The 18501-nt window shown below is 41.3% G+C and overlaps 1 pseudogene, besides 1 other annotated feature; it reads right to left on the bottom strand.

Moving 5' to 3' along the window:
* On the bottom strand, positions 16876-17907 carry LOC100287951 (dynein light chain Tctex-type 1 pseudogene; annotated as a pseudogene).
* Positions 17441-17941: an enhancer, noted in NCBI's record as "H3K4me1 hESC enhancer chr4:10412553-10413053 (GRCh37/hg19 assembly coordinates)". NCBI's record gives its function as "activates a minimal SCP1, AML or CMV promoter by ChIP-STARR-seq in naive H9 embryonic stem cells {active_cell/tissue: H9 hESC(naive)}" and the evidence as "EXISTENCE:reporter gene assay evidence [ECO:0000049][PMID:30033119]".

Raw genomic sequence — 18501 nt, 5'->3', positions numbered from 1 at the left:
CAAATAATAAAAAATTGGCTGGGTGCAGTGGCTCACTCCTGTAATCTGAGCATTTTGGGAGGCTGCAGTGGGTGGATTGCTTAAGCTCAGGAGTTCAAGACCAGCCTGGGCAACATAGTTAAACCTCGTTTCTACAAAAAAATAAAAATAAAAATAGAAAAAATTAGCAGGGCATGGTGGTGCATGCCTGTCGTCCGACCTACTCAGGAGGCTGAGGTGGGAGGATTGTTTGAGCCCAGGAGGTGGAGTCTGCAGTGAGCTGTGATGGCATCACTGTACTCCAGCCTGGGTGACAGAGCAAGAACCCATCTCAAAAATAATAATAATAATAATGTGGGCTGGCAAGATGACCAAATAGGAACAGAACCAGTTTGCAGCTCCCAGCGAGATCAATGCAGAAGGCAGGTGATTTCTGCATTTCCAACTGAGGTACCCGGCTCATCTCACTGGGACTGGTTAGACAGTGGGTGCGCCCACAGAGGGCAAGCCAAAGCAGGGTGGGGGCGTCACCTCACCTGGGAAGCACAAAGGGTTGGGGAACTCTCTCCTAGCCAAGGGAAGCTGTGAAGGACTGTGCTGTGAGGAACAGTGCACTCTGGCCCAGATACTATGCTTTTCCCACGGTTTTCACAAGCTGCAGTCCAGGAGATTCCCTTGGGTGCCTATGCCACCAGGGCCCTGGGTTTCAAGCACAAAACTAGGCGGTCATATGGGCAGACACTGAGCTAGCTGCCGGAGATTTTTTCATACCCCAGTGGTGTCTAGAATGCCAGTGAGACAGAACCATTCACTCGCCTGGAAAGGAGGCTGAAGCCAGGGAGTCGAGTCAAGTGGTCTAGCTCAGTGGATCCCACCCCACGGAGCCCAGCAAGCTAAGATCCACTGACTTGAAATTCTTGCTACCAGCACAGCAGTCTGAAGTCGACCTGGGACACTCGAGCTTGGTTGGGGGAGGGGCATCTGCATTACTGAGGCTTGAGTAGGCGGTTTTCTCCCTCACGGTGTAAACAAAGCCACCAAGAAGTTCGAACTGGGAGGAGCCCACAGAAGCTCAGCAAAGCCACTGTACCCAGACTGCCTCTCTACATTCCTCCTCTCTGGGCAGGGCATCTCTGAAAGAAAGGCAGCAGCCCCAGTCAGGGGCTTATAGATAAAACTCCCATCTCCCTGAGATAGAGCACCTGGGGGAAGGGGCAGCTGTGGGTGCAGCTTCAGCAGACTTAAACATTCCTGCCTGCTGGCTCTGAAGACAACAGCGGATCTCCCAGCACAGTGCTTGAGCTCTGCTAAGGGACAGACTGCCTCCTCAATTGGGTCCCTGACCCCTGTGCCTCCTGACTGGGAGACACCTCCCAGTCAGGGAGGTGGCATCTGGCAGGTGTCCCTCTGGGATGAAGCTTCCAAAGGAACAGGTAGCAATCTTTGCTGTTCTACAGCCTCTGCTGGTGATACCCAGGCAAACAGGGTCTAGAGTGGACTTCCACCAGACCTGCAGCATACGGGCCTGACTGATAGAAGGAAAACTAACAAACAGAAAGGAATAGCATCAACATCAACAAAAAGGACATCCACACAGAAACCCCATCTGAAGGTCACCAACATCAAAGACCAAAGGTAGATAAATCCACGAAGATGAGGAAAAAACAGCACAAAAAGCCTGAAAATTCCAAAAACCAGAAAGCCTCTTCTCCTCCAAAGGATCACAACTCCTTGCCAGCAAGGGAACAAAACTGGATGGAGGATAAGTTTGATGAAGTGACAGAAGTAGGCTTCAGAAGGTGGGTAATAAACTCCTCTGAGCTAAAGGAACATGTTCTAACCCAATGCAAGGAAGCTAAGAACCTTGAAAAAAGGTTAGAGGAATTGCTAACTAGAACAACCAGTGTAGAGAAGACTGGTAGAGATGACTTGATGGAGCTGAAAAATAAAATATGAGAACTTCATGAAGCATACACAAGTATCAAAAGCCGAATTGATCAAGCAGAAGAAAGGATATCAGATATTGAAGATCAACTTAATGAAATAAAGTGTGAAAACAAGATTGGAGAAAAATGAATGAAAAGGAATGAACAAAACCTCCAAGAAATATGGGACTATATGAAAAGACCAAACCTATTTTTGATTGGTGTACCTGAAAGTGACAGGGATAATGGAATCAAGTTGGAAAACACCCTTCAGGATATTATCCAGGAGAACTTCCCCAACCTAGCAAGACAGGCCAACATTCAAATTCAGGAAAGACAGAGAACACTATAAAGATACTCCTCGAGAAGAGCAACCCCAAGATGTATAATCTTCAGATTCACCAAGGTTGAAATGAAGGAAAAAATGTTAAGGGCAGCCAGAGAGAAAGGTCGGATTACCCACGAAGGGAAGCCCATCAGACTAACAGCAGATCTCTCTGCAGAAACCCTACAAGCCAGAAGAGAGTGGGGGCCAATATTCAACATTCTTAAAGAATTTTCAACCCAGAATTTCATATCCACCCAAACTAAGCTTCATAAACGAAGGAGAAATAAAATCCCTTACAGATAAGCAAATGCTGAGAGATTTTTGTCACCACCAGGCCTGCCTTACAAGAGCTCCTGAAGGAAGCACTAAATATGGAAAGGAAAAACCGGTGACAGCCACTGCAAAAACATACCAAAGTGTAAAGACCTTCAACACCATGAAGAAACTGCATCAACTAATGGGTAAAATAACCAGCTAGCATCATAATGACAGACCAAATTCACACATAACAATATTAGCCTTAAATGTAAATAGGCTAAATGCCCCAATTAAAAGACACAGACTAGCAAATTGGATAGAGTCAAGACCCATCAGTGTGCTGTATGCAAGAGACCCAACTCACATGCAAAAACACACATAGGTTCAAAATAAAGGGATGGACAAATATTTACCAAGCAAAGGAAAAGCAAAACAAACAAAAAAACAAAACAGCGTTTGCAATCCTAGTCTCTGATAAAACAGACTTTAAACCAACAAAGATCGAAAAAGACAAGGGCATTACATAATGGTAAAGGGATCAATGCAACAAGAAGAGCTAACTATCCTAAATATATATGTACCCAATACAGGAGCACCCAGATTCATAAAGCAAGTTCTTAGAGACCTACAAAGAGACTCAGACTCCCACACAATAATAGTGGGAGACTTTAACACCCCACTGTCAATATTAGACAGATCGAGACAGAAAATTAACAAGGATATTCAGGACTTGAACTCAGCTCTGGACCAAGTGGACCCAATAAACTTCTACAGAACTCGCCACCCCAAATCAACAGTATATACATTCTTCTCAGCACCACATCACACTTACTGTAAAATTGACCACATAATTGTATGTAAAACACTCCTCAGCAAATGCAGAAGAATGGAAATCATAACAAACAGTCTCTCAGACCACAAGGCAATCAAATTAGAACTCAGGATTAAGAAACTCCCTCAAAACTGCACAACTACATGGAAACTGAACAACCTACTCCTGGATGACTACTGGGTAAATAACGAAATTAAGGCAGAAATAAATAAGTTATTTGAAATCAATGAGAACAAAGACACAAAGTGCCAGAATTTCTGGGACACAGCTAAGCAGTATTTAGAGGGAAGTTTGTAGCACTAAATGTCCACAGGAGAAAGCAGGATATATCTAAAATCGACACCCTAACATCACAATTAAAAGAACTAGAGAAGCAAGAGCAAATGCATTCAAAAGCTAGCAGAAGACAAGAAATAACTTAAGATCAGAGCAGAACTGAAGGAGATAGAGAAATGAAAAACCCTTCAAAAAAATCAATGAATCCAGAAGCTAGTTTTTTGAGGATTAACAAAATAGGTAGACCACTAGCCAGACTAATAAAGAAGAAAAGAGAGAAGAATCAAACAGACACAATAAAAAATGATAAAGGGGATATCACCACTGATCCCACAGAAATACAAACTATCATCAGAGAATACTATAAACACCTCTATGCAAATAAACTAGAAAATCTAGAAGAAATGGATAAATTCCTGGACACAGTCACCCTCTCAAGACTAAACCAGGAAGAAGCTGAATCCCTGAATAGACCAATAACAAGTTCTGAAATTGAGGCAGAAATTAACAGCCTACCAACCAAAAAAAAAAAAAAGCCCAGGACGAGATGGATTCACAGCCAAATTCTACCAGAGGTAAAAAGAGGAGCTGGTACCATTCCTTCTGAAACTATTTCAAACAATAGAAAAAGAGGGACTCCTCCCTAACTCATTTTATGAGGTATTATCCTGATACCAAAACATGGTAGAGACACAACAAAAAAAAGAAAATTTCAGGCCAATGTCCCTAATGAACATCAATGAGAAAATCCTCAATAAAATACTGGCAAACTGAATCCAGCAGCACATCATAAAGCTTAGCCATCACGATCAAGCAGTCTTCATTCCTGGGATGCAAGGCTAGTTCAACATATGCAAATCAATCAATGTAATCCATCACATAAACAGAACCAATGACAAAAACCACATGATTATCTCAATAGATGCAGAAAAGGCCTTCAATAAAATTCAACACCCCTTCATGCTAAAAACTCTCAATAAACTAGGTATTGATGGAACATATCTAAAAATAATAAGAGCTGTTTATGACAAACTTGCAGCCAAAATCATACTGAGTGGACAAAAGCTGGAAGCATTTCCTTTGAAAACCGGCACAAGACAAGGATGCCCTCTCTCACCACTCCTATTCAACATAGTATTGGAAGTTCTGGCCAGGGCAGTCAGGCAAGAGAAACAAATAAAGGGTATTCAAATAAGAAGAGAGGAAGTCAAATTGTCTCTGTTTGCAGATGACATGATTGTATATTTAGAAAACCCCATTGTCTCAGCCCAAAATCTCCTTAAGCTGATAAGCAACTTTAGCACAGTCTCAGGATACAAAATCACTGTGCAAAAATCACAAGCATTCCTGTACACCAATAATAGAGAGCTAAATCATGAGTGAACATCCATTCACAATTGCTACAAAGAGAATAAAATACCTAGGAATACAAGTTACAAGGGATGTGAAGGACCTGTTCAAGGAGAAGGACAAACCACTGCTCAAGGAAATGAGACAGGACACAAACAAATGGAAAAATATTCCATGTTCGTGGATAGGAAGAATCGATATCAAGAAAATGGCCATACTGCTGAAATTAATTTATAGATTCAATGCTACCCATCAAGCTACTATTTACTTTCTTCACAGAATTAGAAAAAACTACTTTAAATTTCACACGGAACCAAAAAAGAGCCTGTATAGCTAAGACAATCCTAAGCAAAAAGAACAAAGCTGGAGTCATTACAGTACCTGACTTCAAACTATATTACCAGGCTGCAGTAACCAAAACAGCATGGTAGTGGTACCAAAACAGATATATAGACCAATGGAACAGAACAGAGGCCTCAGAAGTAGCACCACACATCTACAACAACAAACCTGCACATTCTGCACATATATCCCAGAACTTAAAGTATAATTTTAAAAAAGTCAAAACAGTCAAAAATAATAATAGCTACAGGTTTTCAAGAAATATATAATATAAAAAATGTAAATAGTGAAATAAGTGAAAAAATTGTGTGGGGGGCAGGTACAAGTCTAATGTTTCTGTATGCAACAGAATTTATGTTATCAGTGTAAAATAGTCTATTATACTTATGAGATGTTTTATTTCAGTCCTAAGTAAACACAAAGCAAAAAACCATAGCAGATACACAAACAATAAAGAAAAGGGAATAAAAACTTAGCACTACAAAAAGAAATAATAAATGCTCCCTCTCTGGGTGGACATTGGCTAAATTTGGTCTGGATTTCCTTTCTGCTCTAACAGGACAGCACTGAGTTCAAGGCCTCGCAATTGCTGTGTTCTCTCTCCCTCAGCGCCCAGAGATGCCCTCTGCATCATGCTGCTTTGCCTGCTGCTGGCAACGGGTGAGGGAGGGGTGGTGTTGGCAATTCAGGGCTGTTTTTTCTATCTCTTTAGTGCCTCTTTCAGCTATATGAAATTAAAACCAGGTACTGTGTGTGCTCACATGATTATTAGTTCTTATAAAGGTGTTTTTTTCTGTGTAGATAGGTGTTAACTTGGTCGTCTTGTTGGGGGGACAATCAGTGGAGCTTTCTATAATCCAATATGACCACCTAATTATATCCGCAGAGATCCTATTTCTATAAATGGTCATATTGATAACTTTTAGGGCTTTAGACTTCAGGGAACACAATTCAATCCACAACAGTGCACATATGTGAAGCTTCTCTATTAACCTTTAGTCTACAGTCTAGACTTTAAGACAAACAATCAGACAACAATATGCATCCCCCTTGCCTCAATTTGGCAATGTTTGTCATCTAGGCTTCTCGCCAGGTTGTCTTATTTAGCTTTTAGTAAACTACTTTAAGACTTGCATTTTAATTTTAGTGTTTCTCTGAAGCATTTGAAAATTAATCATTCTAGTTTTCTTAAAACCTTCCTTTCTCTAGCCTTTCCAAATCATTGTTTCTTCCTGAGTTGTCATCTATCCTTCCAAGCATCTCCTTCAAGTATCTATCTGTGTCAGGGGTCCCACCAAGACCACCCCGAGTTTTCATGGCCCACTACAAGAGCTCTCAGGACCCATCATATAGTCATACTTGTAGCTAAGATTTATCACAATGAAGGGATACAAAATATAGTGAGCAAAAGGGGAGGGTACATAGAGACACGTCCAGAATAAACCAGGTGCAAGCCCCCAGGAATCTTCTAATTGTGGAGTCACACAGGGCACACTTAATTCCTACTGCAAGGAGTTGTGACAAAGTACCTATCTGGGAAGCTCATTAGAGGTTTTTATTGAGCTCATAAAAAAACAGAGTTTTTATTGGGGCCTGGTTTTGTTGACACCCTCTGCCTGGCATGCATTCAGCACAAACCACACAGTGAGACACTCTTATTGAGAGGAAACTTCCTATCAGTGTGAGTAACTGTTTACCAGCCTGGGGCCAACCTTCAAGCAGACCCTTCTAAAGATCAGTCTCAGACCCCGCTGTGTTAGCTCTTTTCTTCTACCCTTTACCACTTCCCTTCTCTTTTTGCCATTCCCTTGGGATCTTCCTAAATGTTTATTTCTCCAGATGAATTAAATAATAGTTAAATAACATTTAAAGTAATTTTTTTTGAATGGTGGGCATTACTTGAGATTATAATTTGTTTATGATATATAAAGATGTATTTCCATTTTTGACATGGGGAAAAAAATGATAGACAACAGAGGCATATCCTGTGCTTGCATACGTAGGAAGTCAATATTATTCAAATAGAAAGAGAGGAAGTCAAACTACGTCTTTGCAGACAATATATTTCTATCTAGAAAACCCCATAGTCTCTGTCCAAAGCCTCCTAGAACTGATAAACAACTGCAGTGAAGTTTCAGAATATCAAATTGATATACAAAAATTATACACCAGTAACATCCAAGCTGAGGGCAAAATCTAGAATGCAATCCCATTCACAAAAGCCAAAAAAAAAAAACAAAAATAAGATACCTGGGAACACAACTAACTAGAGAGGTGAAACATCTCTGCAAAAAGGATTACAAAACACTGCTTAAAAAAAATCAGAGATGACGGCCAGCATGGTGGCTCATGCCTGTAATCCCAGCACTTTGGGATGCTGAGGTGGGCAGATCACCTGTCAGGAGTTCAAGACCAGCCTGGCCAACGTGGTGAAACCCTGTCTCTACTAAAAATACAAAAATTAGCCAGGCATGGTGGCAGGTGGCAGGTGCCTGTAATCCCAGCTTCTTGAGAGGCTGAGGCAGGAGAATTGCTTGAACCTGGGAGGCAGTGAGCCGAGATTGCACCACTATACTCCAGCCTGGGCGACAGAGGAAGACTCCATCTAAAAAAGAAAAAAAAAAAAAAGGAAAAGAAAAGAAATCAGAGATGACACAAACAAAGGTAAAAACACTCCATGCTCATGGATAGGAAGGACTAGACTCAACATTGTTAAAATGGCCTTATTACCCAAAGCAACTTACAGATTCAGTGCTATTTCTCTCAGACCAGCAACATCATTTTTCACAGAATTAGAAAAAAAAATGGTTCTAAAATTCATATGGAACTAAAAAGGAGACTGAAGAGCCAAAGGAATCCTAAGCTGAAAGAACAAAGCCAGAAGCACCACACTACTGGACTTCAAACTATACCACAAGGCTACAGTAACCAAAACAACATGGTACTGGTACCAAAACAGATATATAGACCAATGGAATAGGTTAGGAAACCCAGAAATAAAGCCACACACCTACATCCATCTGGTCTTTGACAAAATTGACAAAAACGAGAAATGGGGAAAGGACTCCTTAATTAATAGTGCTGTGATAACAGGCTAGCCATATGCAGAAGATTGAAACTGGACCCCTTCCTTTCACCACATACAAAACTCAATTTAAGATGGATTAAAGACTTAAATGTAAGACCTAAAACTATGAAAACCTTAGAAGAAAACCTAGAAAATGCCATTCAGGACATAGGTCTTGGCAAAGATTTCAGGACAAAGTCTTCAGAAGCAATTGCAATAAAGAGTATTTATAGATAAGTAGGACCCAATTAAATAACTTCTGCACAGCAAAAGAAACTATCAACAGAGTAAACAGACAACCTCCAGAATGGGAGAAAATATATGCAAACTATGCACCTGACAAAGTTCTAATATCCAGAATCTATAGGGAATCTTAAATCAGCAAGCAAAAAACAAGCAACCTTCTTAAAACGGGTAAAGGACATGAACAGACATTTCTCAAGATGACATTTCTCAAAAGACGACATATGCACAGCCAAACATGAAAAATGCTGAACATCACTAATCATTAGAGAAATGCAAATCAAAACTACAATGAGGTGTCATATCCCACCCCAATCAGAATGTCTATTATTAAAGTCAGAAAATTACAGATGCTGGCAAGATTGTGGAGAAAAGGGAATGCTTATATACTTCTGGTGGGAATGTAAATTAGTTCAGCCACTGTAGAAAGCAGTTGGAGATTTCTCAAAGAACTCAGAACTACTGTTTGACCCAGCAAAATCATTATTGAGTATATGCCTGTATTAGTCCATTCTCGCACTGCTATAAATAAATACCTGAAACTGGGTAATTCCTAAAGAATAAAGGCTTAATTGGCTTACGGTTCTGCAGGCTGCACAGGAAGCATGATGCTGGCCTCTGCTTCTGGGGAGGTCTCAGGAAACTTTCAATCATGGCGGAAGGCAAAAGGGAAGCAAGGCACATCTTACATGGCCAGAGCAGAAGGAAGAGAGTGAGGGGGGAGGTGCTACACACTTTTAAACAGCCAGTTCTCATGAGAACTAACTCACTACCGTGAGGACAGCACCAAAGGGATGATGCTAAATCATTCATAAGCAGCCTGCCCACCTCCGAACCTAAAAGGTGAAAAAGGAGAAAAAAAAGATTTGGTTATGTATAGGTCCCCCACATTTCTTAGGTTTATTCCTATGTGTTTGTTTTACCTTAGTTCTATAAATATGATCTTTTCTTCCATTATATGTTGATCATTGTTTTTTTTTAAACAATGATCTTTTTTTAAAAAATGCTACTAGTTTCTATATATTAAAGTTCCAACTTGTCACATTTATGTAGTATTAGTAGATACTAAAATAATTCATAGAAAATTAGTATACATATTTAGAAATAATTATTGCAAATAACATACCAAGTTCTTCTTATACCTATTTTTTTCTTCTATTTAACTGCTTTGACTAGCACATTCAGAACAATATTAACTACTACTAGTTATTCAGAAGGCTGAGAAGGTAGGATTGCTTGAGCCTAGGGGTTTGACACTGGCCTGGGCAGTATACCAAGACACATCTCTAAAAAAAAAAATTAAAATAGCACTACTAATATCAAATCTAGTGTTAGTACTAGTAAGTATCAGATTACTTTTGGTATTTCACTCTAATCCAGGCTTATTGCTTTGGGTGGAGGAATCTGATTAGAAACATATATAACTTGCTAGATATTAAAATCCATATTCCCATATGTACTTAGGTCTGCAGGTAAACGTACTATTCTATACAGTTATTTTCTTTTCCTGTATTACATTCTCAATTATTGAACTTTATAATAAACTTTAACATCTACAATCTGATAATTACTTTTTGGGAAGGGTTGTTGAGTTTTTTTTTCAAATGTCTTTCACATTGTAATGATTATATGGGAGTTTTTTCCTCCTTGGGGCTATTAATAAAGTAAATCATTGAACCATCCTGAATTCCATTTAATGATTGTATTATTGATACCATTCCTGTTGTTACTATTGATACTATTATACCCAACAAAATATAGTTTATACACATGTTCCTAGTGGGCCTCCTAATATTTTACATTGATTTAGAGATTTGATACTCAAAGCATTAGTTCCTTAAAATTAATGGCAAACATGTCATTCCTACATAATTCAGTAGCCAGCCCTTTAAAAAAGATATTTTTCTTACATAAATCAAAATATTATACCCCCAAAATTATGAATAACTCTTTGTTATTGTCTAATACCCAATCTATATTCAAATATCCCTAATTGTCTCAAAATGTATTGTTCAAATTAAGATCTAAACAAAGTACTTGCATTTCATTTGCTTATTTTCTTAGCTATCTAACTTGGCTCTGGATGCTATCTGTAAACAGCACAAGTAGTAACTGAATTTGAGGCAGGTGGTCTGAGGCTAACTTCATATGACTTGCAAGAAGCCTACAGGAATGCCTTGAGCCCCGCAAGAAATACAGCTGTCTTTGCAGATTAAAGTCCTGGCCTGCAAATTTGGCTAAGAAACAAGAAAAATAGCAACATCCACCAAAGTCAAGTCAGCCGCACTGGAAAGATTTGCCTCTTTGGAATGGAGCCTTAACCAAAGCTCAAACACACTTTTCCTATTATTTTCGCCTGAGCCGTCCTTTGCCAACGGAATGACTACACATGCCCGAGTCAGTTCAGGTCAGTGCTAGAGCATCACAGGGCCCTGCTTCCTAAGTCCTAATCAGCTTGACCAAGTAGAAACAGTTGTTCATCATGAGCAATGGAGAAAGATGCTTCCATGATCCACCAACTGCTCTTGTACTAATATTTGAGGTTTGGGGCCCTGGCAAGGCCCAAAGCCTTGATCTGACTCCTTATTAGTTGTGTTCCCAGCCACCAGAATTTCTCTCTCAACACATCTGGCCAATGGATCAAGATCTTACAAGATATTAACATTAGTTAGCTGATACGGTTTGGCTGTGTCCCCACCCAAATTTAATCTTATAGTTCCCATAATTCTCATGTGTCATAAGAGGGATCCAGTGGGAGGTAATTGAATCATGGGGGCAGTTACCGCCATGCTGTTCTCATGATAGTGAGTTCTCATGAGATCTGATGGTTTTATAAGGGGCTTTTCACCCCTCTTGTCTCTTCTCTTTGCTGCTGCCATGTGAGGAAGGATGTGTTTGTGTCCCTTTCTGCCATGATTGTAAGTTTCCTGAGGCCTCTCTAGCCCTGCAGAACTGTGAGTCAATTAAACCTCTTTCCTTTATAAATTATCCCAGTCTTGGGTATTTCTTCGTTTCTTCATAGCAGCGTGAGAATGGACTAATACATTAGCCTTCAACATTTTTTTTTTTTCTTAACTCGTGTTCTGTCACCCAGGCTAGAATGCAGTGGTGTGATCATGGCTTACTGCAGCCTCGACTTCCTGGGCTCAGGCAAACCCCCTACCTCAGCCTTTTGAGTAGCTGGGACTACAGACATGCACAGCCATGCCTGGCCAATTTTTTGCACGTGCACGTGAGTGTGTGTGTGTGTGTGTGTGTGTGTGTGGAGATGGGGTCTACATTATGTTGTCTAGGCTGGTCTGGACTTCCTGAGCTCAAGTGATCCTGCCATCTCAGTCTCCCCAAGTGCTGGGATTACAGGCATGAGCAATGGGCCTAGCGCCTTCAACTTTTCTGTCTACTCCCAAATTAGGAAATCAACCAAGGAATAACACAGAAGTCAGACGGAGTTAAATACCTTAATTTCATTTCTGGCAACTAGATTGGAGAACACAGTTGACACATGTGGTCATAATAAGCCTCTTGAGATTTCACATGCTATAGATAGCTGCCATCCAGTCACTGAGCCTGCAGGACATCAAAGTCTTCTTTACAGAATCAGCGGGGCCCTGTTAGTGCCCCACAAAAGGGAGTAGGAGACAACACACATCCTGTGGGTTGGGGGAACCCACAAAAGAATGATCACCCTGGTGAGCAGCCACACAGGCTCAGCTCATTACCCAAACAGGATGGGACCCCTTTACTCCTCCTCTGAGCCAAAGCAAAGTTCACAAGGAAGAGAGCTGGAAGTGCTCTTCATATACTTCTGGATAGTAGAACAGAAAGTCCCTTCTCCATGTAAAAATGTGAGGAATGCGGGTAATAAAACCTTACGGGAAATAAAACCTAAAAGGGGAACTGGCAGTGACATGTTAGGACCACTCTTTTCAGTTACTAGGTGTACACAAAAAAAAGTGTTAGGTGCTCCTGTGCGCCAGCACTCTGATAAGTGTTACATGGACCTTATATGATTTTCTCCTTTCAATAGCACTTAAGGAAAATAATCTCCCCAGGATCACCCAGCTAGTGAATGTTAAACTTCTTGAGTCCTGGTTGCTCTGCCTATAAAAAGGACAGATTCAACCATTTCCAAACTCACTGCTTTTTCATATAAACCAAGCTAGCCAGGTGCAGTGGCTCACACTTGTAATTGCAGCTGCTCATGAGGTTGAGGTGAAAGAATCACTTGAGCCCAGGAGTTTGAGACCAGCCTGGGCAATATAACGAGACCCCATATTTAAAAGATAGAATAATAACCAAACCACTTTTGGAAGTCTGACTCATGAAACAAACTAAGCTAACCAGCCTTTTCTCCTGGGCATCTAGTTCCGACTCAGTAACTCCTAGACTTTGTAACTACCTAAGCACCATGTATTGACCATCTATTCCCACAGGATTGGGGTGGGGGTGAAAAGCAGAAAGGATGGTAAAAACTGAGTATTTAACATTCCCCTAGACTCTGTTTTTACAGAAAGCTATAAATCTTCGGCTGGGCCTAGCTAATGTGTTGTAATAAAAGGAGATGTTGATTCGATTTTTACAATCCATCATTCCAAGGCCAGAGAAAAACAGGAAAAGAGATGCTTTTCTTGGAAGGAAGAGAACGTTTGTCAAATTGTTTCTACTTACTTGTATTCACACATCCTGTCTCTCCTAATATCTCACCTGTCAGAGACTAACAGGATAAAAGCAGACAGGTAGAATGGCTTTAAATTATGTGTATTGAGAAAAATAATGAAAAACAGCATGCAAAAGAATTCAAGGAAATTAACATGGTTGCTGCTTAGTTCTCTCCTGCTCCCCACTGGAGGCTGAGGAGGAAGATAACATTTCTATTCAATTCAATCCAAAAATTGTTAGGAAATGGAGATGCAAACATTATGACATGGCCCTCAAGGAACTCAGAATAGATGAGAAGGTAAGTCTGATACATATGCTAAGAGCAATGAGAGTGATGAGCCTAGGGTAACAGATGCAGACTCCCCCACCCAAGGATGCCTTTGGAAGAGATGATATCTGAGCCAAGTCAGAGGTTGTGCAGCAGTGAGCCAGCAAAATGAATAGTGGGACAAAGTCAGCAATAAGAGCATTCTAGGCAAAGGAAATACAAACAACAAAAAAATGTCCAACATCTACCAGGCCTTGCTGCCTTCTGATACTGTCTTAAGTGCTTTTCATGCAATCTTAACTCAGATGATACTGTGCTCAATGAAACCGCTACTATCAGCATCCCTATTTTTCAAATCTAACAATAAGGCTGTAAAAGTTAAGTAGCTTGCCCAAGCAGTAGGTGGTACACATCAGAATGAGGATTTGAACTCAGGTCAGTATGATTCTAAAGCCTCATTTTTTAATAGCAACAAGCTACACTGCTCTCCCAAAGTGATGAGCAAAGGTACCAAATGTGGGTGACAGCATATCACTAGTGGGTAATGACTACAAAGAGTGCTGTTTCCAGATGGTAATGTGGGAAGCAGAGAGCAGCTAAAGATACATGAAACTTTTTTTTTTTTTGAGACGGAGTTTCGCTCTTGTTGCCCAGGCTGGAGTGCAATGGCACAGTCTCGGCTCACTGCAACCTCTGCCTTCCGGGTTCAAGTGATTCTAGCTGGGATTACAGGCGCCCACCACTACACCCAGCTAATTTTTGTATTTTTAGTAGAGACGGGGTTTCACCATGTTGGCCAGGCTGGTCTCAAACTCCTGACCTCAGGCGATCCACCCGCCTCGGCCTCCCAAAATACTGGGATTACAGGCATGAGCCACCACGCCAGGCCACATGAAACATTTTATGTATCATGTGAAGAGACTGAATGTTATCCTGGGGTAACAGGATCTCAGAAGACGTTTAAACAGATACATGCCATGGCCAGATGTGTTTTATGTAAATTTATTCTCTTTGGTCTCACACCACAGTAACATGAGAGTAACAAGATCAGAGACAAAAAGACTAGTAAGATCTAATGGTAACCCAGGAAGGAGAGTGTATGAATGAGGATGGTGGGAGCTCAGATGGAGAAGAGTGAGACAATTTGAGAAATACTAAAGAACAGTAGGACTGGTGGATATAATGGGTGTAGGCATGATGGAAGAGGAGGAGGAGGAAGAGTTAAGGATGACTCCAGGTTTTCTGTTGGAATGACTAAGTGAACATTAGTACCTCCACCTGGAACAAGAGCACAAGGAGAACTGTTTAGCTTGAGTTCAGATAATGCAACAGATTCTTAATTACATAAACTAATTTCTGTAAGTTTGTTATGTAAATTATGTAAGCTTGTTTGACTTGGTTTTGAAATGGCTCATGGTTATACCTGTTACAGCTGGATTCCAGGACTCAACTACAATCAGAATTTTTCTTTCATTCTCTCAGCTTGAATTTCCTTTTGTAGCACCCTTGGGCTCACTCTTTATGGTGGTGATAACAATTGACATGCTTTATTTTCCGATCAACAAGCTTCCGATCTGACAAGCTGAAGAGGCTTGGCTCTTAGCAACCACATCAACTCTTGGGAAGGAACTTGAACAGCCCCCACTGGGCTCATATATCTGCCCCCTGGAAAATTAGTGAGTGGATGGGAAGAGATAATCTGAACAGTGATTCTGGATTATATGTCCTTCCTGCTGGTGGGAGGAAGTATGGTCAGGGAAATCTCTGAAAAGAAGAGCAGTTCCATTACCAAAATAGATTTGTCTAGTGAATAGGCCAAAGCACAGAAACCCACTCCATGGGAAAACATCCCATCTGATTATATGACAGCAGAACGTGGAGGGACAGGACAAGGTTGAAGGTCAACACTTGAAGTCATCAGCCACCCTTGAAGTTAAAACTGAAGGACAGTATAGATAAGATTGAGTCAAGGATGAAAGAATTCAGAGAATACCACCCTTTAAGACAGGAAGAGGAACAGAAACTAGAGTGAAACAGAGGAGAATAACATGCCAAAGAATGTATGAGTATTGTCTCATTTAACTTCATCACCAATATAGCCCTATAAGGAGGGCATAAGGGTTTTTTTTCCATTTTAACGGTAAAATTACTTTGAATCTGAGTTATTATTCTTGCTCATCATCAAATCTGCTAAGTGATAGAGCTGGGATTGGAATCTTTTCTTGTGAGATTCCAACTTCATTCTACTAGAAAGATAACATATTCCCCACCAAGGACATAAGATGTATGCTGTTCCCAGATGTTTTCTCCTAGAATGTAGGAGAATTTATTTTTAAAACACATATTTTCTTCTTGGCAGTAAATGGCATCTTTGCTCCACAAAGAAACCAAATTAAAAACAGTTCTGATCCTCATGCTTCAGAAGAATTTATACTTACTCAAGCATTCTCAGTCTGTCCTTGATTACATGGGTCTCAGTTATAGACTTGAGAAAACAAATATAAAATGCGAGCACTATTAAGATAATTAGAAATAATCTAGTAAAGGATCCAGTGATGGACTTCAGTGGGATCTATTTAGAAACCCTTGAAATTGAATGCAAAATATTTGTGCACAATGGATTTTTTTTTTCTGGGAAGAGTCTCTATTCTTTGAATTCTCGAAAGTGTATGAGTCCAAGTACCCTCACTTTGCAGATATGGAGATTAGTCATTTATATTCCATGGGCCTCCAGCTCATACCATGAGGCCTTGATAGAATCAGGTCTGGACCTTAGGTCTCTTGGTTCCCAGAGCATGACACTCTCAGGAAGCTTCTGCCTGTAAGTATCCTATTAAGTGCCTGAAAGAAAGGTTTCTTGCCCTAAGATCACCTATACATTTTTTGACCGGCAAGGGTTCCACCTCTTGTAAACAGTTATTCCTTGAAAAATAAAATTGATATTAAACTGTCACTTACAAGCACAGGGAATATGAGATGTGGACTTGACAATGTTGGCAGTTGGGAACTGCACAGAAATCCAGGGCTCTGTTGCCTTCCTACCCTCTACTCCTCACCATGTCCAGGAGGAGGAGAGAGGGCCTTAGGTATGAGAATCCACATCTGCTGAGCACCTAGGGTAGAATAAGCTTAGGAAGATCTTGGTTTGGGTTTCCAGAATGAGAGCCTGTGATGAGGATGTGCAAGTTGTTTATTAAAGATGTGCTCCCAAACAAAACTGAGAAAGAGAACAAGGCAGGGGCAGAAGTCAGGGAAGGGTGTGATGTCAGAGTCCTTTGGAGTGTGGCAACAGCCCGATCTGGACAGCTTTTGCTGAAAGAACCTAAAAGTAATCAACTCATTTTTTAAAGATTTGAACAATTTATTCTAACAAAAGTATAAAGTATGGAAAATTCATGTATTTGAACGATTTCAGAGAGTAGAGCATGTTTCACACTAGCAGATTTCAGATTTTAGCACCTTTGAAAAGAAATATTCAGAGTTAAGACAAGTGGCAATGCAGGCTGCAGGTGACCTACAGGGATACTCATCTGACTTCAGTGCAGTTCACATCACAGTGCAGTCATCTGGTTTTTCAGAGTGCCACAAAACACACTTAAAGAAAATGAGAAAGGAGTTCATTGAATTCATGGCTAGTGGTTAGAAGATGAACTAGAGACAAAAGCAGAAAGGTTATAGGATGGACTGGGAGGTCAAATAGACAGTCCGAAGGCGCCGACAATGCAGTACATGGTCTTATTCTCCCATCGCACAGTGTAGCTCCCGTCAGTAGAGCTGTCCCAAAAGCAGGAACTTGCCATGTATGATCCAGCTCCGTTCTTTTGAATAATTACACAGGTCACAATGTATTTAAATGGTTTTCCCAGCTTGGGGAGTTGGCTTAAAGTTTGTTCTACATTTGTGGTCCACTGGTTCACTTTGCTGTGTTGATAAGCATTACCACCAACTGCGATTTTTTTTTTTTTTTTTTTTTTTTTTGAGACAGTCTTGCTCTGTCACCCAGGCTGGAGTGCAATGGCGCAATCTCGGCTCACTGCAACCTCCGCCTCCCAGGTTCAAGCGATTCTCCTGCCTCAGCCTCCCGACGAGTAGCTGGGACTACAAGTGCCCACCACCACGCCTGGCTAATTTTTGTATTTTCAGTGGAGATGGGATTTCACCGTGTTGGCCAGGCTGGTCTTGAACTCCTGACCTTGTGATCCGCCTGCCTTGGCCTCCCAAAGTGCTGGGATTACAGGCGTGAGCCACCGCGCCCAGCCCCAATTACACTTTCTATAGCCTCTTTTACAGTGTTGCTCACTTCAACAATAAAGGCAGTCTCCTCCACAGCCTGATAGTCTCCCATCCTTCCTCCAGGGAATAGCCTCCGCTTCCCCGAGTGGTGCCACGCAGGCACGCTCAGGCTCCGCCCCACATCTGCCACGCCTCCCTCCATAGCCTGGCACGCAAGGCAAGGCACGCACTCCCGCCCCACCCACACCCAGCTCCCGGGCCCTGCGGCCCCGCCCACGCCCAGCTCCTTTTTTTTTTTTCCACTTGCATTACATTTATTCATCTCATTTCATCCTTAGAGCAAAACTCTGTAGTGGGTTCTGTTTTTTGGTGTTTTTTGTTTTTGTTTTTGTTTGTTTTCCACGAAGTCTCGCTCTTGTCCCCCAGGCTGGAGTACAATGGCGCGATCTCCGCTCACTGCAACCTCCGCCTCCAGGGTTCAAGCGATTCTCCTGCCTCAGGCTCCAGAGTAGCTGGGATTACAGGTGCCTGCCACCACGCCCGGCTAACTTTTGTATTTTTAGTAGAGACGGGGTTTCACTATGTTGGCCAGGCTGGTCTCGAACTCTTGACCTCAGGTGATCCGCCCGCCTCGGCCTCCCAAAGTGCTGGGATTATTACAGGCGTGAGCCACCGCGCCCGACCAGTGGGTGCTATTATTTATCTCCACTTTGGAAATGAGAGTAGCAGAGAAAGATGACT

The sequence above is a fragment of the Homo sapiens genome, chromosome 4 (assembly GCF_000001405.40).
Source record: "Homo sapiens chromosome 4, GRCh38.p14 Primary Assembly".
Lineage (NCBI taxonomy): Eukaryota > Metazoa > Chordata > Mammalia > Primates > Hominidae > Homo > Homo sapiens.
This window is presented reverse-complemented; position numbering and strand designations above follow the sequence as displayed.